This window comes from Homo sapiens, chromosome 6 (genome assembly GCF_000001405.40).
Source record: "Homo sapiens chromosome 6, GRCh38.p14 Primary Assembly".
Taxonomy (NCBI): domain Eukaryota; kingdom Metazoa; phylum Chordata; class Mammalia; order Primates; family Hominidae; genus Homo; species Homo sapiens.
In genome coordinates this window covers 136882058-136909066 of record NC_000006.12, presented here as the reverse complement: position 1 = coordinate 136909066, position 27009 = coordinate 136882058, and the positions used below count along the sequence as shown (strand labels likewise).

The following is a 27009-nucleotide window of genomic DNA, read 5'->3' as shown; positions in this document are numbered from 1 at the left end:
ACAGGTAAGCAAAGAGACACCTATACTGTAGCGTAATATGTAAAATGATAGAGGAATTATGGGGTCCCATAAAAGTAGGCAAGGGGCCATTATAATCGAATGTGAGGGAAGTGCCTGCTTTCAGGTGGAAGTAGTATCTAAGCTGAGGCTTAAAGGAGGAACCCGCTAGACAGCATTTGTTGCTGTTTTTGGGTCAGGGGCACAGTGGAAAAAAGGAAAATGTTCTAGGCAGTGGGATACATCCGAGTAAGTGAAGAACTGAAAGTTTTAGTTTTAAGGCAATTTAAAAGTTATAATTGCATTATAACTCCTCTGACGAAACTCAATCTTTCGAGAGGCAGTTTTTTTCTGAATCCCAACTAGGGTTTTTTGAAGGCTGGGGTATCTCTTGTTTGACTCTCTTCCCTTACAGTATGAGTGTGCATGTGGACACTCAAGGGCAGGGGCCTCCAGGCTCTACTGCTTCCGCCCAAGGATACACAAGTGGAAAATGTATTCCTTTACTCACAAGCCCCTGCTGTGGTACATTTCATCCCTATGCCCTTCTGAATTTCCTTTAAGCTAAGACCAACATGCTAATCTTTTCATCAAAGTCAGAATTAAAATTACTGACATTACAGAAAAAAAAATGGTTTGTCAAAATGTTATATTTCTTAATGTAAAATTTGAAGAGAGAACCAATCTTATTATTTTAAAAGATGCTATCTACTAGGGTAGTAAAAAAAACTAAACTAATAGGGTAAGATGCCATATAAGTTCTATTTTTAATTATTTCATTTTCACTTTAATACAGCAAAATAGGTATTTCTGTTATAAGAATAAGCACACTAATCAGAAATACAAATTACTTGCTTTGAACTAATGTGTCAGTTTCTTCAAAACATATAATAAAGCTTGAAAAACTGAACAGAAATTTATGTCAATAAAGCCTATTAATTTCTAAACAGAGGTATGTATGGCATATACATTAAGACATCTTCATACATGGAATGCCAGAGAGCAACTCTATTAAACCAGTATTTCAGCATTTCCTATATGCAAAATACTGGACTAAATGCTACATAAATCCAAAGATAGTAAAGAAACATGCATTCACTAAGAAGACTATAATAAAAATTTACCAATAGTGGATCAAATCATATGTATTATAGAACATCTTCAATAATAATGGTCCCATAAATGTGGATTTTAGAGAAGGAAACATTAAAATGGAAATACAACACTTTAAATACGTGTAAAATTTAGAAAATGAATTTATATCCCTTAATTGCATCAATTCCCTCCACTTTATTAAAATATTTACACATGCAACTGATAAGGTAACTTATCTCAAATGATTTAATGTGATTGTTAATAATAATCAGGAATTCCAACTGACTCATTAGGAGCTTTACTTTATTAAGAAGTTTTCCATTTCCTATTTATCATTATACCCTTTTTTTCTCTATTTCGTGGACAATTGCTTTTGCCCTTGGGAAACTTGTTCAATCTACTGTAATTATCTTTATGACACATGGCCTCTTTAGCAAAAATGAATAATAGAAACAGGCAGAAAGATACAGACAGAATGAAAAAAAAAATCACAGTTAACTCTACATTTTGAAAAAGCAGCCAAGACATTATACTGCAGTATATTAAATTTGGGACTCAAGGAAGAAACATGCTTTACTTACTCAACCAGCTTACAATAGAAAGTGACTACAGGAGAGAATATGGTTTATTATGATAATCATTATGGAATTTATGCAAAAGCAAGGAAAGAGCTGACCAATAAACTAAAAAAATCCTTTTCATTAATTCATTGAATAGCTATTTAGCACATATGTATCAGGTGGTTGACATTAATCCACTGTGTATTTCCGAGCACTCAAGATATTTAGTTGACACAAAATATTTACTGAAGCAGAGAAGGAAAGAAGAGGAGGAGAGAAGGAAGAGAAGAACTTAATTCTGGAGTCAAAAAGGCAGAAATAATTTCCATAGGCAGAGGCGGAGGAGAGCAAGAGAAACGGGTAAAAACATGGATATGACAAATAACAAAATGTAATTGTTCTGCAATAGAGGATTACATAGGATGGTGAGAACTAAAATTAAAAAGGAAAACGGATTACACTGAATCCTGAAAGCAAGATTAAAAGTTCAGACTCTACACTGAAGGGAATTAATGGGCTTCCTCTTGAAGGTTTCTGAGCAAAGATGACAATGATAAAAACGACAATTTAACTGGATTGATTTGCAAATTAAAACTAGTACTTAATAGTATGGCAAGAGGTTAATGGTCAGAGTGGTTTAAAAGCATCACAGGAGTGATTGTCCAGGAATTTCAAAAAGAGAAAGATAGGTTAGGAGGCAAATATAGTAGCATCTGCATTGGATGACAAATGCCTTAAAAAAGGGACAGCAATAGGAAAAATGTATTCTGTTGCAGGCACATGATATGTCTGTCCATTTATTCCAGTCTTTTTTCAAAGGTCTCTTAGCAAAGTAACATAATCTTCTTAATCTGGAGTCCTGTATATTTTTAATTTTTTTCTTTGGGAATACTACACCCATACACACACACACACATGCACACACACACATACACAGTTGCTGCCTTGTAAAAGTAATTTTTCCCATTTTATTTTCTAACTGATAATTGTTATATCTATAGGTTATTCAATGTTATACATTTATTTTAACTGACTTTCTCATTGGACTCTCTTATTATTTTTAATAGGTTTAAAGTTGATATATTTAATACTTATTCAATTTGACAATCATGAATTACAAATGACAATAAAATGTTCTACCTTTAAAATTTTATATTCTATTTTGTTTTCTCCTATTTCTAACTGGCCACACAATTTTTAGAACCATGTTCATTTACAGTGGTGATGGTGGCAGTTCTCACCTTGCTCCTACCTTTAACGTATTTCAGGTCAAGCACTAACAAAACCAGATTTGCATTATGGAAACCTCTCCCTGGAGGCAACATGGAGAATCAATGGGATGATGGAAAGAGCTTAGAGACCAGGTTTGAGATTGTTGCAGTAATCCACGGTAAAGGTACAAATAAGTGCTTATCTAAGGCAGTGGAGGTAGAAAGGCATTGTCTGGATTTCAGAGATATTGGTGAGAAATAACTCATTAACTCAATACCAAGTTGAATTTAGGAAATGCGAAGAGACAGGAAAACTAGGATTACTTCCCAGATCTCTAGTATGGCCCCGAAATGCAATCAACTGACCAGGTTAGGAATACTGAAGGAAAAGCATGACATCTACTCAGATCTCACAGTAAAGTCTGCTGGATACATAGGGCAAGTATCACTAGCATAGAATTATACAACAGCTTTAAGGGGAAGTTGCACCAAAGTAAGAGGGCTAAGATTGAATATTGGAGAACATCTACTTTTGGAGGGATGGTGATGAAGATATGTAGCAAAGAGGTAAGGAAGAAGAGGTCAGCATGGTAGCATTGAAAAAATAGGACAGGAAGATTTTTTTCAAATATCAAAATTATATGGCTAAATAAGAAAAAAGTCTGAAAAAAGGCTAATTCGGGTTTCAGGAGTTTACTGGTGACCTTTTTGGGCTTAACTTCAATTGAATGATGAAAGGAAGACAGGTTTAAAAGAGAGTGTAGATTCTGAGAAACTAAAAGCAAGAGGTCAATTTACTAATTCTAGATATTTAATAATAGAAGAGAAACAGAACTTACTGATAGTGTGACAGGACAGTGGGGTAAGCCCCATAGAGCTTTGAAAACAGAAGAACCGATTGAAGATCTAAAAACAGTGGATAAGTGAAGAAGCAAAGATGTGGATGAGGAAACCAGCAAGAAAATTAGAAACCCACTGGAAGAATGGGAAAAAAATAGAGATAAAATGCAAACCTTTTGGGGTGACAGAGACGGAAAAAGATGCTCATTCCTGGGAACTCTCTTCTAACAGTAAGTAGAACATAAGGTCAAACGTCCAGATACTGACACTGAAAAAGGATGAGGAAAGATACAGTGGAGAATGGACTAAAAAAATAAAAAAGACTTCAAAGGTAAAATCAGAAAGACTTCAAAGGTAAGTTGAGTAGGACCAAGAGCCCAAATGAAGTTTTTTAAAAAGTAATCTGAAGTGTGCCTAGTCAGTATGTTTGGTGGGTTTTCAGAAGCAATGCTTCATAATCAAGAGAAAGGAAATTGAATAGGAAAGTGAGTGATTCAGGAATGAAAGATCAGAGGCAGATGTCAACAGTGAAGGGATGCCATAATTGCAAGGGGTATGTATTAGTCCATTTTCACGCTGCTGATAAAGACATATCTGAGAATGGGAAGAAAAAGAGGTTTAATGGACTTACAGTTCCACATGGCTGGGGAGGCCTCACGATCATGGCAGAAGACAAGGAGGAGCATGTCACATCTTACATGGATGGCAGCAGTAAAAAAAAAAAAAAAAAAGCTTGTGCAGGGAAACTCCCCCTTATAGAACCATCAGATCTCATGAGACTCATTCACTATCATGAGAACAGTGCAGGAAAGACCTGCCCCCATAATTCAATCACCTCCCACCGGGTTCCTCCCATGACACATGGGAATTGTGGGAGTTACAATTCAAGGTGAGATTTGGGCGGGGACACAGCCAAACTATATCAGGGTGTCTATGTAGTGCAGAGGGCAGCAGACACAGCCTAATACCATCCATCTAAGGAGCACACTGATATCCTACAGAGCTGGAACTGGGAAATGTTTTATGGCTTGGCGAAAACAACAAGGACTTGTTATATCATTGTAAGCTAAAAAATTACACAATTATGAAAGCATCAATGAGGAAACAGCAGAGACTAATGCCTGAGGACACCGACTGCTTCTGGCACTTGTTCTTTTTAACTCTAAAGCTAGTCTGTGACAGATGCAGAAAATATCACCTGACATAAAAGGTGAACAGGACACAAATATCCTAACTACCAATAATGCTTGCCATCTTCTAAAATCCAATTTTCTAAACTCATTAAAGAATTCTTAAATACTTTTATCTACTGTCAACCATTAAACCTGGTATCGAAGATTATGGCAATAGAGGTTTGAACCAAAACAAGAGCTGAATTTTTAAATGATATCTAACCAGGCACAGTGGCTCACACCTGTAATCCCGGTACTTTGGGAGGCTGAGGTGGGAGGATCACTTGAGCCCAGGAGATCCAGACCAGCCTGGGCAACACAGTGAGACCTCATTTCTACAAAAAATTAAAAAAAAAAAAAAAGTGCACACCTGTAGTCCCAGCTATTCAGTAGGGTAGGGTGGGAGTGGAGGCTTGAGATGGGAGGATCGTTTGCACCCAGGAAGTTGAAGCTACAATGAGCCATGACGTACCACTGCATTCCAGCCTGTGTGACACAGTGACCCTGTCTCAAATAATAATAATAATTAAAAATAAAAATATATCTAAAGAACTAGTTTAAATCAGAACCAAATCTAATCATCTTTTACTGAAACAAAACAAAAATATACAAAACTACTTCTACTCTATTAATATTTTAAAGAAAGCTCATTATATAGGAGCTACATGTTCCTAGCATGGACAGATTCAGATATTCATTCACTAAAGATTATCTTAGGTGGGGCATGGTAGCTCATGCCTATAATGCCAGCACTTTGGGAGGCCGAGGCAGGAGGACTGCTTGAGCTCAGGAGTTCTAGACCAACCTGGGCAACATAGCAAGATCCTGTCTCTATGAAAAAAAAAAAAAAAAAAAGAGAAAGAAAGAAAAGATTGTTTACCCAAACTTTGAAAAATACACACACAGACAGAGACTGGATGGGTGGCTACCACTGGGAAGGAGGGGTTCAGATTTGGGAAGAGGCTTCTGGAATGCAAGCGATGTTCTGTATCTCAACGTGGATAGTGGTTATACAGGGGTAGTCACTTCTGGATAACTAATTGAGCTGTACACTTAAAAATATGTGCATTTTAAAATATAAATTTACATTTCAATTAAATCTAAGAAACATAATAATATGGTAAAACAGAGATTTTTAAAAGAAACATAATAATATGGTATAAGAGATTCTTTCTCAAGTGGGGAAACTAGAGGTAATCTTTTTTCTTTCTTCTAAATGTAATTTCCAAAATTTTGTCATGAGGAAAACATTAAAGCTTATTAAACATACAGCAGCGACATCTGAAAGTGGTAGCGTTTACTTTAAAAGAGATTAAAATAATAAATAACTATGCCCCCAAAAGAATGTATAAAGATATGTAAACTTGTATCCAGCTTATAAATACTAAACTAAACATCACTGAGCATTTGGAAGAGCAGAATTGATACTGCAGAACACAAAGTCAGGAATTCTAAACTAATATAGAAATTCCAGTTATATAAATAGGTGTATTATAGGTCTAGAATCACAAGTCTACAAAAAGAAAAAGAGTATCTAATTTAGAAATAAGAAGGATAAGAAAGAAAAGATAAAATGTCAGAACTGTACAAATCATGATCAGAAAAAAAAAATTTTCAAAGAAAACGATGCCTTCAGCCTGGTTAACAAGAGAGGGCATAGAGCATTTCTCAGCAATTATCCTTAAAGAATGACCCCAGACATTTATTTGTCAAGTTTTAAACTTTTAAAGACAAGATCTTACATTCTGTTAAGAAGAAAGGTGGTGTAATATATGAATGCCCTTGACCTCATTTCTCAGATCTCTAAGAAAGGAGAAGCTAAAAAGAAAAAGAATTATACACAGAAGAACTCAGATAAATCTCTTTTAAGACTGAGAATATATAAAAACACAGAGCCTTAAAGTAACATCAGCAAGGTCCTACAGCTGCTAAGATCACAAAAGACAATAGGTATATGAAAGCAGATGGAAAGACACTAAGAGGTGAGAGAAAGATACTTTCTAAGGGAATAAAAAATGATCAAAGAGTAAAATTAAATTAACTTACAATCTGTAAATCTGACACATTATGAGACTAAAGGATAAATATAGTATGTTAAAAATAACTTGGCTGGGCGCAGTGGCTCACGCCTGTAATCTCAGCACTTTGGGAGGCTGAGGTGGGCGGATCACCTGAGGTCGGGAGTTTGCGACCAGCCTGGCCAACATAGAGAAACCCCATCTCTACTAAAAATACAAAATTAGCTGGGCGTGGTGGCACATGCCTGTAATCCCAGCTACTCAGGAGGCTGAGGCAGGAGAATTGCTTGAACCCAGAAGACGGAGGCTGCAGTGAGCCGAGATCACGCCATTGCACTCCAGCCTGGGCAACAAGAGCAACATTCCATCTCAAAACAAACAAACAAAAATAAAACTTAAACCACCTACTATACCAACACAGGTTAGTGTGGCAGATTTTAAGTGACTATGAATTCTTCACAGGTCCTCCCATCAAACGGTACAGTCTATTTCCCACTCTTTGAATCTGGGCTGGCCTTGCAACTTGCTTTGCAACAGAAGGAATGCTGTGTGGCTTCCAAGTCCAATTCTCAAGATGACTTGCAGCTTTTGCTCTTGCCCTCTTGTAAACACACAACTGTTAAGTGCAGAGACCTGGGCATACCTAGAGACACACGGCCTGGAAGACAACCAGCACTATCCACCAGACACATTGAACGAGGCCTAATAGGACCACCCGGCCCTAGTTAAGCCACCAGATGGCTGGAACCACATGGGTGGCCACAGGAAAGACCAAAAGAAGAACTGCTAGGGTGTGTCTGGTCCAAATTGCTGACTCACAGAATTGTGAGCAAATAAAATTGTTGTTTTACGCCACTAAGTCCTGGAAGTTGTTCATTACACAGTAATAGATAACTGACAAAAGTGAGAGGGAAAAACATGGAGATACATGTAGAACTTGATTCATATCTCCCCTAGAAAAGAGTTTGATGTGACTTGTAAATATACAAATTATCTCTCTCCTATAGCTGCCCAAGATGCCGAAAGAAGACCAAGGGCAAGACGGGGCCCCAGCCCCTGCTATCTTGAAGCAACAGGCCAAGAAAGTGGTGAATCCCCTGTTGAGTAAAGGCCTAAGAATTCTGGCACTGGACAGGACATCCAGCCCAAAAGGGACCTCACCCACTTTGTGAAATGGCCCCACTATGTCAGGCTGCAGCAGCAAAGAGTTATCCTCTACAAGAGCCTAAAAGTGCCTCCTGTGATGAACCAGTTCACCCAGGCCCTGGGACCACCAAACAGCTACTCAACTACATAAGCTGGCCCATAATACAGACCAGAGACAAAGCAAGAGAAGAGGCAGAGACTTGGCCCAGGCTGAGAAGAAAGCTGTTGGCAAAGGGGATGTCCCCACTAAGAGACCACCTGTCCTTCAAGCTGGGGTTAACACCGTCACCACCTTGGTGGAGAAGAAGAAGGCTCAGCTGGCGGTGACTGCACATGACGTGGATCCCATCAAGCTGGTTGTCTTCCTGCCTGCCCTGTCTCATAAAATGGGGGTCCCTGACTGCGCTGTCAAGGGAAAGGCAAGACTGGTTCACAGGATGACCCACACCACCATCACCTTCACACAGATTAACTCGGAAGACAAAAGGGCTTTGGCTAAGATGGTGGAAGCTATCAGGACCAATTACAATGACAGACACGATGAGATCTGCTGTCACTGGGGGGGCAATGTCCTTGGTCCCAAGTCTGTGGCTCACACTGCCAAGCTGGAAAAGGCAAAGGCTAAAGAACCTGCCACTAAACTGGATTAAATGTACACGGTTGAGTTTTCTGTACATAAAAATAATTAAAATAATACAAATTATCCTTTGAAAAATATATAAATTAATAATATACACAACTCAAATGTTTGTGTTTAAAATACTGGTTGAGATCACCATCTTAATTTGAATAAAATCTATTACTTAGGGATGTATGTCCTCTGATTAAGTCCTCTCATCACAAAGTTGCTTTTAATAAGGTAGGCCTACTATGTGTGGAGGATTTAGAAAACATCTGGTATTCTTCAGACCTGGGCGAGGAAGCGCCATAGCTGAGGAAATGGAGGCGCTGCAGCTGCTGCCACAGGTTCTAGTCTGGGCTCACAGAGGACAGGTAATAGAAATATATAAGGATGAGGATTGAATGAATATTTACTTAGGATCCTTTGTTTGGGGTGCCATATTTCAGTATGTACACTGTAACTTTTTAAGACTAAAATAGAAAACAGGTACAATTATTTTATTAAAATCCATCTATAATAAATGTATCAGAAAAGGAACTAGTTCATTTGAAACACATTATATTTATGCTGAAAAAATGCCATTTCACTCATCACTATTTCAGTTTTTTCTCTTATATCCTATTAAGTCATTTTAAATGATTATTTCTAATGTTAATGGGAACATTCTAATACCAAATGAGAATCGTTTAAACTCAGAATTACATCTTTAATTCCTAAAATGAAAAACTCATAGGCTGAGAGCTCATGCCTGTAATCCCAGCACTTTGGGAGGCCGAGGAGGGTGGATCACTTGAGGTCAGGAGTTCGAGACCAGCCTGGCTAACATGGTGAAACCCCATCTCTACTAAAAATATAAAGATTAGGCCAGGCACGGTGGTTCATGTCTGTAATCCCAGCACTTTGGGAGGCCAAAGCAGGTGGATCACTTGAGGTTAGCAGTTTGAGACCAGCCTAGTCAACATGGCGAAACCCCATCTCTACTAAAAATACAAAAAATAAGCCAGGCATGGTGGCATGTGCCTGTAATCCCAGCTACTCAGGAGGCTGAGGCAGGAGAATCACTTGAATCCGGGAGGCGAAGGTTGCAGTGAGCCAAGATTGCGCCACTGCACTCCAGCCTGGGCAACAGAGCAAAAACTCTGTCAAAAAAAAAAAAAATTAATTGGGTGTGGTGTTGCATGCCTGTAATCCCAGATACTTAGGAGGCTGAGGTGGGAGAATTGTGTGAACCTGGGAGGTGGAGGTTGCAGTGAGCCAAGATTGCACCACTGCACTCCAGCCTGGGTGACAGTGTGAAACTCTGTCTCAAAAAAAAAAAAAAAAAAGAAAAGAAAAAAAAAACACTTACATATTTATTTAAATTTCAGAACACATTAATGTGAAGTGGGATTTTCTTTTTGCTTAACTTATGAGAGTTATCATAAAAGCACAATTTCACAGTCATGCTCTACAATTTCCACATATTATTTTGTGTTTCATTGATATGCTGGTTCTTTCACACACTCTGTATTTAAAGGGCCTTATCACTCAACATATTGTAGTGTTTCTGATTGACTTTACAATTTCTAAAATGAAAAGGCTTTTTTAAAAAAAAAAACCTGAGGGATATTTAAAGTCCAAAGTGTCTACTCTCAAGTCCTCAAGAGAACAAAAAGGGAGACATATATTGTTTATTAACTTAAATAGCAGACATTCTATTTTACTTGTTCTCCATCAGAAGCCTCCCATTCGACACGTGGTGTGAAGACAAGGGTGACAGTCTTGAAAGGGTAGTGACCTGCCTGCCCATGGTCTCAACTGCCTAATGGGACAGCTGAGTCAGGACCACATGCTCCTGACTCCTGCCAACCCGTGGCGACAATCCTGCCATATTCCATCTTTCTCTTGTCACTTTTCTGTTGGGAGAGGCCTAGAGAAAGCCTTTAAAATGTTAGGATAATACCTCCTGGGAAGGTTCCTTTTTCTCTCAGGGAAATCAGTCTTTCAAGAGGAGAAAGGTATGTCAACTTTCTTGATACCTCTTATTCCCTAGTAGTTTAATGCTCAAACGCTCCAGCTTATATAGCTAAAATGGCAACAATTTTATTCATAAAAGCAATGCATGCCACACAGAGTTGGCTGTGAACTTGGGCAGAAGAGAATATCATGAGATTGTATCCGTTACCTGAGTGGGGCTCTGAAGACTGAAGTCTAAACCACAAGTAAACTCTGTATGATGCTCCACTGTTTCAAGAAGAGAGTCAGGCTTTGAAAAGTTCCAGAATCTGTGAAGATAAATAAAAGGGAATAATTTAAATGCTAAAACTACCAAAAAACTTATATTAAGAAAAAATAGATATTTGACATAGCAAAGATTTTATCCAAACAGGCTCAGCCAATTCATAAATACAGAACCCCACTATTAAGCCCTACGTAAAAAATCCAATAAGAAAAAAAAGTACTCCATCCTATTATATATATAAAAAAAAAACCCTACATCAATCTACCCTATAAAAGATTATTCTACTCCCATTAGTATACCTTTTAGGACAGAAGCTTAACAAGTTTTAATTTAAAAAATGTTTTTATATTGCACAAGGACATTGAGATGATAGTATGCTTTTGTAGCAATTTCTAAAAGCATTCATGGCTATAAAATAAGGATATTGAATTAAATGAACTCTAACATTTTGTGATTTTAAATATGACTTCATTTCTCAACAATTGACATGAAAGATCTTAGGCTTAATTTAAATTTCAACAGCAATTAGAATTCTTTGAAAAAAATCTGTTCTCTTATGAAAATCTCTGTAATTCTGAAACTATCTTTCTTCTTTTTTGAGGCACAGCCTTTCTTACAGATTCCACATCAATATAATTCCTAGAATCAAGAAAAACAGAAATGTATTTTCCTGAGCCAATATTATGTATTCTACTTAACCTCCATAGACTGAAAGTGGTAATATTTACCATAATCAAGCTCTCATTTGTACTGTGCAGACAAGAATTTGGCCCTGTTTTCAATACATAACATGGTACTTTATTTCTAATGCTTTATTTGCTCATCATCTTTTTTATTTGATTCTAAACATACTATAAAAATGGCAGGCACATTCAGGATCACAGAGTCATATCCTAATTCAGCTTCTCTAATGATCTACAACATGGCACACTGAAGGTTTAACAGATCCCTTTGAAAGAGAGTAAATACACAGAACCAAGAGCCACAGTTTGTTTAACCTGGTGGTATTATTTCCCTAATAAATACAGAGTTGGCCCTATTAAGTTTTGAAAAGGGTTGTCGCTATGGATAATCCACTGTGTGGGTACCAAAGAAACAATGAGTAAATAGCTCATTTATCAGATTACCAAAATCTACAAAATATTTGGGAAGAGTGATTTTACTTTTGAAAATTTGCCTGTTCAACCAAATGAGGGAACAAGCTGTATGCATTCTCAGAAATCCTAATAGTGGTCTCCACTGTCTTTGCATATTTGTTTCTTTGAATTCTAGAGACAGTGAATTATATCAAAATCTAATTTTCTGGGTCCCGATAATGTTGAGAGAAGCAAAAGTAAACATATAATTTTGTAATTTCATTTCTAAAACATGGTTATTCACTGATTTGCATTATCTGAAATAATAATCAAATGATTCTGCATGTGGCTACTATGTTCCAAAAAATACTCAAAATGATTTTAAAATAAGCATTTAATATGGCAAAAAATGAGTTAAAGGAAAATTAAGGGTAGGAAAGTAAGATGGCATCTGCAATGAGATTGGTACATTCCATGAAGTTCTATGTCCTTGACAGGGAAGGACCTCAAGATGCTAAGCTTTCTAGCAGCCAAAGGAAAAAGGGAGACAATCAAGACCCAAATGCATGGTGTCCACAACCAAACTGCTCCTGGAAAGCTCAGAAGGAAATTCTCCCTTGGGAGTTCAGTGACAAGAAACCCAATGTTTATGTAATAAGAACATCCTCAACATCTGTGAGGAAACATACAGATGCTTTGTCAGCTGCTGCTTATGAGTGAATGGCATCACCCTAAAGGGCAGTTTAAAAGAATGGGTCTAAGGGAAAGTCAATTTGATGTAATCCGGGTATTTAGCTCTCTGACTTCATTTGAAATTTAGATTTTATTTCAGCAGAATGGATACGCTAAATATTCTTTATGTAAACCATAAAAACTGGTTTCTTTTAGAACGTAAGGATAATACAAAACAACGAGAATTTATTTATACTCTCCTGATAAATTCCTGGAATGCAGCTTCTGTTGTTTTGAGCCAGCTTAGGACAAAGCTGCACTGAGATAAGATAAGGTGGGCCTTATGAAAATTAAGATGTCTCACAAAGACACATGTGTGCAGCTATCCAACTTCAGCCTGAAAGTGTGATGAGGGAAGTCACACATTCAGGAGAACTGTGATTCTATTCAAAAAGTCCACCTGAATTTGCTCTAATATACAGCTAATGGGTAGTCAAAGCCTCACAGAGTTCTACACCACAGAATCACAGACATAATTTTAACCTGGGAAAAACTATCCAGTATTTATCTGCATCTTGCAAAGAGTTCATCAAAGAAAATACATGCTGAAACTCTTTGGTGAAGGGAGGGTTAGTCTACTGAATGGCATAAAGACACTTCATTATACCATTTCACAGCTCTGGTAGAAATTATGTAACATACCAAGTGTATACATTATGGTGCCTAATCTAAGAGAGGTTCATTTCCAACAGAATGGCTGACCTGGTTTCTAGACCAACATTTTAAAAACAACTAAAAACCCTGGACGAAACATAAAAACAAATAACCAACCTTAAAACTTCATTAAAGCATTAGTGAGGAACACTATAGTAAAAACCAACACAAGACTGAAACCCAGAGCAGTAAATGGAAAAATGAAGCCAGCTTTTGCCTTGAGAGGATTTACTAAACAGAGACAACCTAAGCTTCAGATTTCTTCACCTCAAGGGGATCAGGAGTCAGGAAAATTTTTTCAATCAATATTAATATGCATAATTTAAAAATAATATTCAGTAGTGAAATATCAAAAATATTGTTAAATACAGTAAATTATACAAACTAAGTTGAGAAAACCAAATGCTAAACGGTATGTCAATATACTATAATTTATTATTTAATTGCTAATGGCTTTTTAATAACAAAAGAAATACATGTATTTCTTTCCCCATTCTCACTCTCTAATTAGCAACCATTGTTAACAGTTTAATGAGTATACTTCCAGAGTTTTTCTATGTATCTCTATTGAAGTTCCAGCCAGAAAGAGTGAGTTGAAAGGAGGGGCTAACAGGGAGAAAGTGGGTGTTTCTCCAAGTTTTCTCAAGTTTGCAGTTAAGGGAGTGGGCATGGTCTCTCCTTGCAACCTTCTTCTGGATTCAAACATCCCATAAGTGCTATATATCCAAGGGCCTTCATGCATCTATCGCGTAAGTAAAATGAGCTCCTTTTTGCTGCAAGAAGTCATACTATCATATATCATTAAGTGGTCAAATAAGGCACATTATTCTTAAGTGAAATGTTTGTTTTGATCCAGCATATATACTACTTGGTGCCTTTTTGTCTCTTTGCTGATGAAATCACTGACTATTTAATCTCCCTCATGGGAAGTAAATATACTGGATAAGCCTCCAATGATTAAAAATATTACAGAACTCTAGGAACATTTTTTATTTAAATTGTATATCATAATATAATGTCTTGGTTGAGTTATTTTTTGCTTTTTGGTTCCACAATTCTTTAACAATGCAAGTATACAGCACTGTATCACATCTCTCTTCTTTAAACATTTTATTATTACTTTTATTTTTTTTGAGATGGAGTCTCACTCTGTCGCCCAGGCTGGAGTGCAGTGGCGCGATCTCGGCTCACTGCAACCTCTGCCTCCCGGGTTCAAGCAATTCTCCTGCCTCAGCCTCCTGAGTAGCTGGAATTACAGGCGCACGCCACTACGCTCAGCTAATTTTTGTATTTTTAGTAGAGATGGGATTTCACCATGTTGGTCAGGCTGGTCTTGAACTCCTGACCTCGTGATCTGCCCGCCTCGGCCTCCCAAAGTGCTGGGATTACAGGCACGTGCCACCATCCCCTGCTAATTTTTGTATTTTTAGTAGAGACGGGGTTTCACCATGTTGGTCAGGCTGGTCTCGAACTCCTGACCTTGTGATCTGCCCACCTTGGCCTCCCAAAGTGCTGGGATTACAGGCATGAGACACCGTTCCTGGCCTATTATTACTTTTTTTGGAGACAGCTAAATCATAGGGCACTGCAGCCTCAAACTCCTGGCCTCAAGCAATCTCCCCACTCCACCCTCCCAAATAGCTGGGACTACAGGTGGGTACCACTATGCCTGGCTCATCATAGTCTGTATTAAATACAACGTCAAAATCATTTCAACAATTAAGCTGAAATTACTTACTTTCTACTTTAACTAAATGTAATTTGAAATCTCTATACTAACACTTTTGAAATTTAGCCAACAGGTGAATTCAGCAGAAGGTTTAAAATATTTTTTTAAAGTTCTTTCTTTTCCTTTTCTGTACTCAACTTATGAGTTAGTCATGAATTACTTGTAAGTCTTTCCTTACTATGAGAAAGGGACAATGTTCTGGCTATTTTTCAATGTCTTACATGTATATTAATTTTTGTTGTGTTTTTATCATTTTAAGCAAATTTCACTATATACTCCTCTCCATTTGCAGTGCTTGGGCACAGTAGTCTTTAGAGCAAGGAGCAAAAATGTCACAACACTTACTTTCACATCATTTAGTTATTCATTCAACAACTGATGAGTCCTTCCATGTGCCAGGTAGGTGCTAAGCACCATATGCAAGACAGACATGGCCTCAGCCCTCCTGTGCGGCTCATAGTTCAGTGGGATCAACTGACATGTTTTTAAAAATCACCAAAACACAAACGTAATGACAATTGACAAGTGCCCCAAAAGACAATGCAGGATGACTTAAGAGGACGTCCTGAGGAAGTGACATCTGAGCTGCAGATCTGAAGGTTGAGGAGTTAGCCAGGGAGACAGCAGAAGAGCAGCTTATTGCTTGTCTGCAAGGAGCCTGACAGTGTGTGACCAGAGGGCCCATGAGGCTGGCGCAGGGAAAGGGAAGAATGTTCCAGGACGTAAGCAGGGCCAGGTCAAACAGGTCTTGTAGGTCATTTGAAGAATTTGGGATTTTCTCTTTAAAAAAAGAAAAAAAAAGCCACTGAAGGATTTTAAGCAGCAACTTAAATTTGTGTGGTCAGTTTGCCTTATTTTAAAACATTTTAATAAACATTTTTCATTTAGAAAAGTTCTAAATTTACAGATAACTTGTGAAGATAGTGAAGAGGGGTCCCATACACCTCAACAGCCAGGTTCCCCTACTGTTAACATCGGTCTATGATCAGCTTTGCCTTCAAAGGTGTCTCTGGCCACAGTGAGAAGAATGGACTTGAGGGCTTGAGTGGGTATGGGAAGATCAGTGGTCCAAAAAGAGGTAATAGCAGCTTGGACTTAAGGTACTGACTGTGATGATGAAGAAAAGTTGATGGATTGGAGATTTATTTAGGCAGAAGAATTAATACAACCTGGTGATTAATGAAACAGAAGACATCAAAAAAGATTCTCATGTTTCTTGTTTCATTCATAGTACTCATAATATTTCCATGCATTTATTTATTTCTTAATACAAATCTATCCTCCTTTAATAGGCAATAAGCTCCTTGAATTCAGGGACAGTGTCCTATTCTTTGTATCTTTTGCATGTATAAAAGTGTCTGCCACATGGTCAACCAAAGAATTTATGGGCACTCATGAATGAATGAATGAATGAATGAGCAAATAAATATACAATGGGTATAATCCTCATTTCAAAGGTGAAGACAATATGATCCAAGAAATTAAGCAATCCATGGTTATAGAGCTAATAAATGGCAGCCCCAAAACACAGACTCTCCTGACATCATGTCTAGTACTTTTTCTACTAAAAAAGATGGCACCATACATTTTTTTCTCTAGGCCTAGGTCATGCCAGAAAATTTTAAATATAGGTGGGCAGGATCTGCAATTCTTCAGGCAGTTTTGATTAACACCCTGAAAGTTCAAATAGGCATGGACCAAGTCAGGTATCCCCTAAACTCTTCAAACTACAGAAAGAATTTCATAAGCCAAAGCCCATGCCAAGAGTCCATTAGTCAGCCACTTACAATAAAAATCCTAAGGAAATTATGAGCCAGAATACATCTGAACTACCATGGCAAGGACTTTGGGAATTTTCTTTTCTCTCTTTTAATATTTTTTATATGCACTTATTGCATCCTCTAGTCTACTCTGCTGTCTCTTTCTAACTTATGTATCACTCAACTCTCTTTCTATAATCACTCAGATTTCCATCCTTTTGCAATGAACCCCCTATAGAACACATGGACTCATGGGCCTATTACTTTACGATCTGTAACATTTTTGGAAGGGATTAAAAAATAGAAGTGGTCGGGCCCGGTAGCACTTTGCAAGGGCAAGGCGGGTGGATCACTTAAGGCCAGGAGTTCAAGCCCAGCCTGGGCAACGTGATGAAACCCTGTCTCTACCAAAAATACAAAAATTAGCCAGGCATGGATGGTGGTGGATGTCTACAGTCCCAGCTACTTGGGAGGCTGAGGCAGGAGGATCGCTTGAGCCCAGGAGGTAGAGGCTGCAGTGAACCGTGATCTGCAGTGAGCCTGAGCAACAGAGTGAGACTCTGTCTCAAAAAAAAAAAAAAAGGGCTGTTGAACAATTTTATAGAGTTAAACTATTCATTCACTCAAAAATATTTACTGATGGTAACATTCATTTATTTGCATGACTGGATTAAAAACTGTTTTTTGGTTTTGGAACTTGTATTAATAACAATAAAAATAAAGTTTAAAACAGAAAAAAACCCTAACTACCTGCTAAATGAAGAATACATGATCAATTGTGAAAAACTACTGAACAATTTTCAAAGGTGTCTCTTGGAATGCTCAATCACTAATACCCAGAAACTCCACAATTACAAACTTTGAAGGTTACATATGATAAAATTCTAGACTTAAGCTTCCTTCTCAAAATGAGTCCATCACAATATTTCATCGAAAACTCTAATCAGATCAGTATTTTAGAGAAGCAGACTTTACTTCATCACAGTAAACATTAAGCCCGGGAACCACATACCACAAAGCCTAGAGTACTCTGACAAATTAAAGAAAATCATCAGGCTGATGGAAGGCCTGCTCTGAGAGTATTTATGGCAGAGATCCACAGGGATGCTGGATGACTTTCTGAAGAATGCCACATCTCAATAAGAGGAGATAAAGGAAAAGAGGCAAAACTCCTATGCGGTTTGTGTATTGCTTACTGGTACAAATCAAAGAATCATGAAATAATTTTTGCAATACAGCTTCAAATAAATGCTTGACTAAAAAAGAAGTAAAACTGGAAGAACTCTACTCATGAAATAGTATCACTATCTTAAGGATAAGAATAGTCTGTGTACATCTGAAGCGTAACTGGTAGCACCAAAATGCACCCACCTAGAGCAAAAGAGCATTTCACCAGTGGATAATGTGACCACATGGGGTTGCTTTAGAACTTCACCCCACACCTAAATGTTGACAATCATTAAGCTTACAGCAGCTGCCTATGCTTTGGTCATTTATTAGTGACATTACCATGAAATACTTAATGTCCTCATCTCTGCAGCTAAGCATTTATGAATAAACCTACTCAGGCTGTCATGTAGTGGAATGTCTGCACTGCTTACAAGGATCTCCTTTATTTAACAACTCTCTCCTCAGCAGAGGGTGGACACGGTGATGGGGGTGAGGAGGGGGAGAAGACAGACACCGACAAAGAGAGAAAAAAACAGAGACAGAGCAGACCAAATAATTCTGTTCCTTTTCTTGTAACTGGACATGAAAGCTTGAGGTAAAAAAAGAAAAAAAAATCAGCCTGCAGGAGGAGGAGGAATGACAAAGTCGGCTGTACAGTTTCAATGCCTTCCATAGGCCACACTGCACACCGTGCTTCTGCCTTTGGGCTCTGGGGGACCCCATAGTCTGAGAAATATTTCCCTGTTTATATTTAAGCTATCTAAGGATGGTTTCTGTTTTACACATGTGTGCACAGACACACATACTGTAAATAATATACTGGAGAAAGATAAGGGACTCTGCTGAATTTTATTTAGGATGAAAATAGATGAATAATTACGGTTTTTTAAATCTCCACGTGGTTCATTCCATTAAGTCCAATGTCTAAGAATTCCATTTTAGAATATTTAGTGTTGCCACACTCTTGACTAGGGTTTCAGGACAGACCTCAAAGGGTGTATTATTCATCCTTATGCTCTCTGGGAACTGTGTAAACTACTACCAGCTGACTGGCAGTACCCAGTTGGTCTAAGTAAATAGGCTTACTATGTGTGCAAATAACGGAGAGAGGGAAAGACAGGTTTTTCTGCTCAATTATCTTTTTCTTAAAAACTATAATTGCACACATTAGAGTCAACTAATTCTACAAGGTTTGTAACAGAAAACAGCAGCTTCCTGCCGTACTTCCTCAATCTTTCACCTCAGAGGCAATCACTCTAAATTCTTTTAGTTGCTTCTTCTAATGTTTTACTCTATATTTCTAAAGAATATGCTCATGGAGCTCATTTATTTTGTCATTTTCAGATATTATCTTTTGACTTCCTACTACGAAAAATGAGAAAAAGCAGTATCTACATTTAAAAAATACAAATACATGCAACAAAATCTACTCAGTTGCCTTATTGAAACCACACAATAGGATTTTTTAAAAAGTATGATGCAAATTAATTTAGAAAGTCCATAAATGTTCTGTTGGAACTAATCAGCACAATTCAAAGTTCAAAGCAATGACTTATACTGCATTAAGCTAAGGCTTAACATTCCTTGTTCCTTTTAGATTTATCTATTTATTCATGTGCTTGCATTCAGTTATGAATTAGACACGGATCTGGTTTCATTCTTAAAGAAAAATGTTAGTAACAAATAATTCTGAAAAAGCTCTGCAGTTATAAAGCAAGCTATTTAAAATCAAAAGTCTTACAAGTTTCTTTCCAATTAATATATGTTGTTTCATTTTATAGGAAATTATTTTCATTTTCATCTGGTACTTAACTTACAAAAGTATACTTCACTTCATGAAAAGATCTTTCCAGTATGACAGTAATTAACACAAGAATTTTCTAATTTAAACAAGTCAAATGGAAAAACTCTTTCGGGACATATTAAAAAATGAACATATCAACAAACTTGGGAGTTATTGCTTCATACATATAAATATGTATCTTAACCCAAAGATATATGAAGCTTAGAGATGTGTCAGTATATTGCATATTACACTTGATTTGTAGAAAAAAATAAAAATGTTTATCTGTCACTTTAGTTAACAAACGCGATGGTCCCAAATGTGCTAAATAGTAACATTCTATTAGTCAGTCAGTGCTGACTTAACCACAACTGAACAGCAAGTCTTCTCCTTGGAAAAGATTTCTCATCCCAACAGGACTTTCTACTTTAAATTGTTTTATTAATGACTGCTTCAGAAATATTTAAAGTGGAAACCACATTAAAATACAAATGTTTGAGCTTCTACAGTCAGAGTGACCAAAGGGTATCACAATTTTTCATTTAATTCAAATTCACTTATATTTATAAACATGTACTTAGCATATCCACATCCCAGGAGCCAGGGACAAAACAATAAAACAGACAAGTCCTACCCTGTCATCAGGCAATGTGCTTTATTAACACAGAATAAATTCAGTACTAAAATATCCTTGCAAGGATTACACAAATCGGGGAATGCAAATATTCCCGTTCTTAAAAGGAAACCAAAGATGACTACATTAAGATGCTTTTCTAAAGTTATTGGTGAGGTGTGGTGAACCCATCTCACAAAGCAAAAAACGGTGATAGGGTTACAAAGACATTTCTAGCTAAGATATCTGAAGGCACAGAACATTTTGAAAATCTCTGATCATCCTAAGAATTTAACTGTAGTTCCTGCAAATGTTAACAATCAGTATCATATCATTAGCCACATGATTTCTTATGGTTTGATGAACAAAAGTAGAGGAATTAAAAACAACTATCTTAAAAGATGAGGTAAAATGATCATTTGAAGCTGTGTGGCAGCTCATATTCAGCCACATTTCTTATCTGTTTACTCTGACTGACCTTTTTTTGTTGGTAACGGGGACTAGGCAAAGTTGAAATGAAAGGTTTGTGAGGCAGAGTACATATTCAACTATACTATCTGTTTACTTTGGCTGACCTTTTTTTAAGGGGAAGGGGAAGAAAGAGAAGTATCTGCCTGTGGAAATCTCTGTGCTAATAAACATAAGGATCAAAAAAGCCCATCAGCCACACCAAAGTTAAGACACTTACTAGATAAGGGCAAATCCCATGAGAGTATCTGTGACAAAGATAAAAGGTATTTCTGCATCCTCTGCTTTAAGATTTTAAGTTTACTACAATCCAATTAAAGATCATTTTCCCACTTAACACAATATAATAAAGCTAGTTATCTTATTCTACAATTAAACTAATATCATTAAATAATAACATTAACTAGAAGGTATTTTAGGGTCTTATTTTGCATGAGTAAATACAGTTTGCTTTTTTCTCAAATGTTTTTATTTTGAAAATTACCAACCCACAATAAACCTCAAAGAATAAAATGAACACCCGTATGTCCTTTGTCTAGTTTACCAACTGCTAAAATTTTGCCACATTTGTTTTATCTTTCTCTCTCTACACATACGCATATGAAGGAATATTTTTGCTGAACCATTTAAAAATAAACTGCAGACATCATAATTTGTCTTTGTCATTTTGCTGGTTTTCAGCAACTTTGATCAGAAATATAAGAACATATTTACAGTGACATGACAACAAGTACAAAGTCTGAAGAATATATATGGGAATAAAAAATAAAATTCTGAGTGCCAGATATGGGCCAGGCTCTGTGGGAACAGCCTTGCATATATTGATATTTAAATCTCGTAGCAGTACATCTTATGACTGAGGAAACAAAGGCTCAGGGAGGTTAAGTCACTTTATGAGAGATTAAATGTAACTAAATTACATTAATTATATATTAAGTAATATACAATTAAATTATAATATAGCTAGTAATGGCAAATTCAGGATTTTAAGCTGTATCTCTTTTTCTATTACATCATGCTGCCTCCTTATGAAATAATTTTTTCAACAAATGTGTGTAGGTAATACATAATAATTTAGGGGAAAATTTCTAAATAGGTTGAAATGAAATAGAAGTGGTCACCTGGTAACAGGTTTTTTTTGTTTGTTTTTTTCAAGACAGGGTCTCACTCTGTTGCCCAGGCAGTACAATGTTGCAAACATGGCTCACTGCAGCTTCCATCTCCTGGGCTCAAGTGATCCTCCTGCCTCAGCACCCAAGCAGCTGAGATCACAGGTATGTGCCACCATACCTGGCTAATGTTTTAATTTTGTAGAGGTGCGGTCTCACCATGTTGTCCAGGCTGGTCTCGAATTCCTGGGCTCAAGAAATTTTCCCGCCTTGGCCTCCCAAAGTGCTAGGAATACAAGCATAAGCCACTGTGCCCAGCCCCTCTGGTAACAGATTTGAATCAAATGCCCAGACATATTCAACTTTGTATGGTGACCACTGTCCTGGTTCATGCTGCACCATATTCACTAGGTTCACTCTCCTACTTCACCTTCACAGTGCAATGAAAATTCCTATTCACAAAGCTCCTCAGTGGCTGTAAGCAATATAATTATGTTATTAACGTAATGCTAGGTAAGGCATGAATGATTAATATCTAGCTCTCCCTAAAGTACTTACATTTTAAAATGGGAAACATTATTACTACTAGTATTCTCATTTAAAACATCTGCTAGTTTTTTGAGCTCTTATTATGTGCCAGAGTATTTACAGATACTACTTCATTTAATCCTCTGAACATCCCAGCAAGGTAGATCACAGTATCATTTCCCATATTTCACAACTAGTAAATAGAGGAGTCAGCTTTTCACTTCAAGTATGACTCACTCAAAGGTCTACATGCTCACCCCACTACATAATAGATGTCTAATCTATAGAACGTTTCTAAATATCTCCAAAGAACAGGGATGTGGAAGGACAGAGCTGATTCTAGATAACTTCCTATCCCCAATTCGTACTTCTCTTTCACCTCCAAGGAGCAGAGGGCAACAAAAGGCTAGATGGGGCTGCTTGCTCTTACTGCTGTAAAATAAAATTACCTCACTCTTGAAGACTAGAGCGCTGAAATGGCCTCAAGCCCAAGGAGACAGCCTTCTGTCACCATCCATTCTAGCCTTAATAATGACAAAAGTAGCAAACACTTACATAGTACTTACTATGTACCAGTATTTGTGTATATTAGCTCTTCTAACCATCACAACAATCCCATGTGGTGGGTACTATTAGCATCTCCATTTACAGGGATGGGGAAACTGAGCCATCAAGTTTTAAAATAACTTGCTCAAGTTTATACAGCTAGTAGAAGGCAGTCTGGCTCCAAAGTCTGTGGTCCTACTATGTTACCTGGGAATGTGCCAACCCATAATTACTCTATTGAATATATATCTTCCAGTACTCCCTATTTACATTTGTGACTACATATGTCCCACGATACCAACAAAACTGACAGGCTTAGGGTTCTCCTAGGTGTGTTACTACTTGTCTCCAAGCCTTCATTTTTATCATTTCCTCAAAAAGACATTTCAAACTGTCTATTACAATGGCTGGCAGATAACAGACATTCTGTAAATATGCCTGAATTTTAAAGTAGAGTACAGTTGTACAATTTTGTCACCAAAAAGTAGCTTAACAGTTGAGTTGGAAACATTAATGTTGCTGACATAGGCAGAGAGAGACTCACATCACGCAAACTGTGGCTGAATACAGTTTGACAACACTGAAATTAAAATTCACTTTATATTTTTCTTGCCCCCAAATCCATATGTCTAAAAAAATTAAGTGCTTGGTCTGGCTTATTATTATCAAAGGCCATTAAGACCACTGATAAAAAAGTTTTAAAGGTTATAATATTTATAAAAGTATCATGAAACTGGAGTGTTACTCTGAGGCTAAACTGGTCATTTTAGCTTTATCAATTAAAATCTTCAGATATCTGAGAATTTGCTACAATGTGGAAGACACGGAATGCTGCTCTTCCTAATGAAAAAAACTATGAATTATAACAGCTTTTACTTTTGTTTGGTTGTCATACATACCTGGTTTGCTTTTCTGTTTATGAAATGATCTACTTGGTATGAAACCAAAAACAAGCATTTACAACTCAAATAATGCTTATGCACGGTTGGCACAACAAATGTGGCTTGGCAGGAAGAGAAGTTAACTAACTTAAGGGACAGTATATAGGAAAAAGATAATATGCTAAAATCTACGATGATAACATTCATGGAAGAATAGAAATAATCTACTATGAAACATTTTAACTTTAGTATTATCTTGAGTGAAGTTTAGAAAGAATCAAGATGTATTTTGATAGACTATATTGTCCACCAGCTGAAGGGAGTTCTGATATTCTTCATAAAAGTTGAAGTTTTTATTTAACATAAACCATACTAAACAATTTCCAATGCTATGTTATATATCACTTCTTAGATCTTCATTAGTTATTCTGTGAAATGTAATGAGCTACTACAGAGGTAAAGGTCTTAAAGCTTCTATTATATTTGGTAAATAGCAACATGAATTTCAAATAGAAATATGAAACTTACATTTTCTAAAATATCCACCATATCATCAGTTTTGATATAACACCCACCATATAAACAATTTTAAAATTAAATTTGAAAAATTTACAAACCTAAATATAACAATGGGCAACAAATTAAAAACTTATATTTAAAAAGCTTGTGTTGCAAATATTAGCCATCCAGAGAATCTAAAGGTAGTATCTGTATAGTTATCAGTCCTAAAAATTAAACAGGTTACTGTTGGTCTTATATCTGAAATCTTTTTCTTCTTGTTAAAATGGTTTTCTGACACTAAAAATATCATCAATCCAATCAGATTTAAAATTCTTCAGAGGATAAATTTAACTCATATCACATGGAGTAAAAATCCACCAAAAATGCACCTTTTCTGACCTTTCCAATCAGTGGTCACCACATTCAAATAATGAGACTAGACTCACACAGGCATTAGAACGATTAAAGTCTTATTCTCGACATGTGTTGAGAATTACAAATATATATACATGTAATATAGTCAAAAGTGAAGGGTTTTCAAATGATTTTGGCTTCCTTTTCTATTTATTTTCCTTGTTACAAGAAAGTCTTCGATAATCCTATATTGGAATATGCAATCACTAGCCTCCAGTTACATTTAGCATGGAGGTGAAACAGTAATTTAGTAGCTACAACGAATGTTAAAATTAAAATTATATTTCTAAAAAAAATGATGTTGCTTCTATATACTGCCTGTGAAGCAATGCTCCACTTCGTACTGGGAAAATGTTTACCAATTTTTCAAGAAAAAGGAGAATTCCAGGTTTTTGGCTTGTTTGAATAGGGATAAGTTTCCCATTAACTGAGATAAATAACACAGATAAACAAGCAAAGAAGGAGTTCAGTGTGAGATTCCTGTTTGGACACTCAGGTGCCTGTGTCCAGAAACAGCTGAATATGCAGGCCTAAGGCTCTCAAGAAAGGCCAGACCTGACACAGGGGCTGGAAATTATCATTTAGAACGGGCATGTAAAAAAAGTTCTAAACCAAAGGGAGACGACCAAGTTTAAGGGGAAGAGAAGGAGACTGATTCTATGATGAACCCTAAGAAGGAAGGGTCAGAGGAGAGTAAGAAAAACAAATAAACAAAAAAGAACATGGAATCCTTAGGATAAGGAGTTTCCAGAAGGGAAGGTATGATCGACGGTGTAAAACAGAAAAAGGTTCAGCATGACAAATGCTGACAAGTGGACTGGATTTGGTTTTACAGAGGTCGCTAGTGGCTTTTGCCAGAGCAATTTCAGTAAAGAAGGAGGGACTGAAGCTAGTTGTGCCATTAGGAAGAACCTTAAGTGCCTATGCCTATAAGCTTTCAAAGGTCTACAAAAATGCCTGAGACCTGAACATTTAAATTAAACTTAAAATAATTAAATTTAAAATTAATAAATTAACATTACTAATTGATAAACCTGGCACTCAGAAACATTTCATTCCACTCGGAAACAATTTCTAGGTTAGGGATGTTTCTTTTTTACTTCACATGAATTCCTTAGCAAGCATAATGATTGCCAAGAAGTCATAATCAATCATAAGTGACTTACTCAATCCAAATCACTTCAAAAGCAAAAGCCACAAATCTTTTCAAAATAATTAACCCTATTTAATCAGTGATGTAGATCCATTTTATAGGTTCTAGTGATCCAGGGTAAGACCTCCAACACAGAGTACGCTGGGACAGTGAAGACCTTAAAATGGCCCTGGTGAATGGAAGCTTATGCGGACACTAAAAGCTTGGCTAAGTAAAAAAGAGAGATGTAAGAGAGGAGTTAAAGGCAAATGCAGGATGAAGGAAAATGTTACAGGCTGAGGAAAAAGTCACTAAAGAGTTGGAGACTAAAGATATAGAGAGATATAGGGGGAGAACAGGTCACTTCACGGCGTAAAGTCCTGAAGAAAACAAGTACGAGGGATCAACAGCACACATGTCTAAGGGATCTAAATAACAGGAGGAATGAAGAGGTACAGATTTAGAGAAAATCTGCAGGCCCAGCTTAGAAATTAAGATAATTTGTGCTTGAGTCCCACAATTATTATTATTATTATTATTTTAAAGGTAAGATCTTTTGCTGAATGTGCAGGGAATAGGGTTGGAAAGATGGCTTTAGAAGAGAGGCAAAGGGCCAGGTGCGGGGGCTCACGCCTATAATCCCAGCACTTTGGGAGGCTGTGGTGGGCAGATCACTTGAGGTCAGGAGTTCGAGACCAGCCTGGCCAACATGGTAAAACCCTGTCTCTACTAAACATACAAAGATTAGCTGGGTGTGGTGATGTGTGCCTGTAGTCCCAGATAGTCAGGAGGCTAAGGTGGGAGAATCGCTTGAACCCTGGAGGTGGAGGTTACAATGAGCCAAGATCACACAACTGCACTGCAGCCTGGGTGACAGAGCAAGACTGTCTCAAAAAAAAAAAAAAAAAAAAAAGAAGAAGAAGAGGGGGAAAAGCAATTAAGAATTATCATAGTATTTTCAAGAACGTCTTCTCATATATTTCTTGTAATCACCCTGTGAGCTTGTGAGCACAGATATCACTAGTTGCCAT

The 27009-nt window shown here is 37.0% G+C and overlaps 1 protein-coding gene and 1 pseudogene across 4 annotated transcripts in view; one reads left to right on the top strand and one right to left on the bottom strand.

Moving 5' to 3' along the window:
* Positions 1–27009, bottom strand: part of PEX7 (peroxisomal biogenesis factor 7) — a 91343-nt gene that overhangs the window by 4868 nt on the left and 59466 nt on the right. For all 4 annotated transcript variants that reach the window (NM_000288.4, XM_006715502.3, NM_001410945.1 and 1 more), the window contains one exon: positions 10826–10925. In NM_000288.4, the coding sequence (NP_000279.1) occupies positions 10826–10925 (100 nt within the window). Of the gene's footprint in view, positions 1–10825; positions 10926–27009 lie in introns of those variants that run through there.
* RPL7AP37 (ribosomal protein L7a pseudogene 37) lies at positions 7887–8747 on the top strand (annotated as a pseudogene).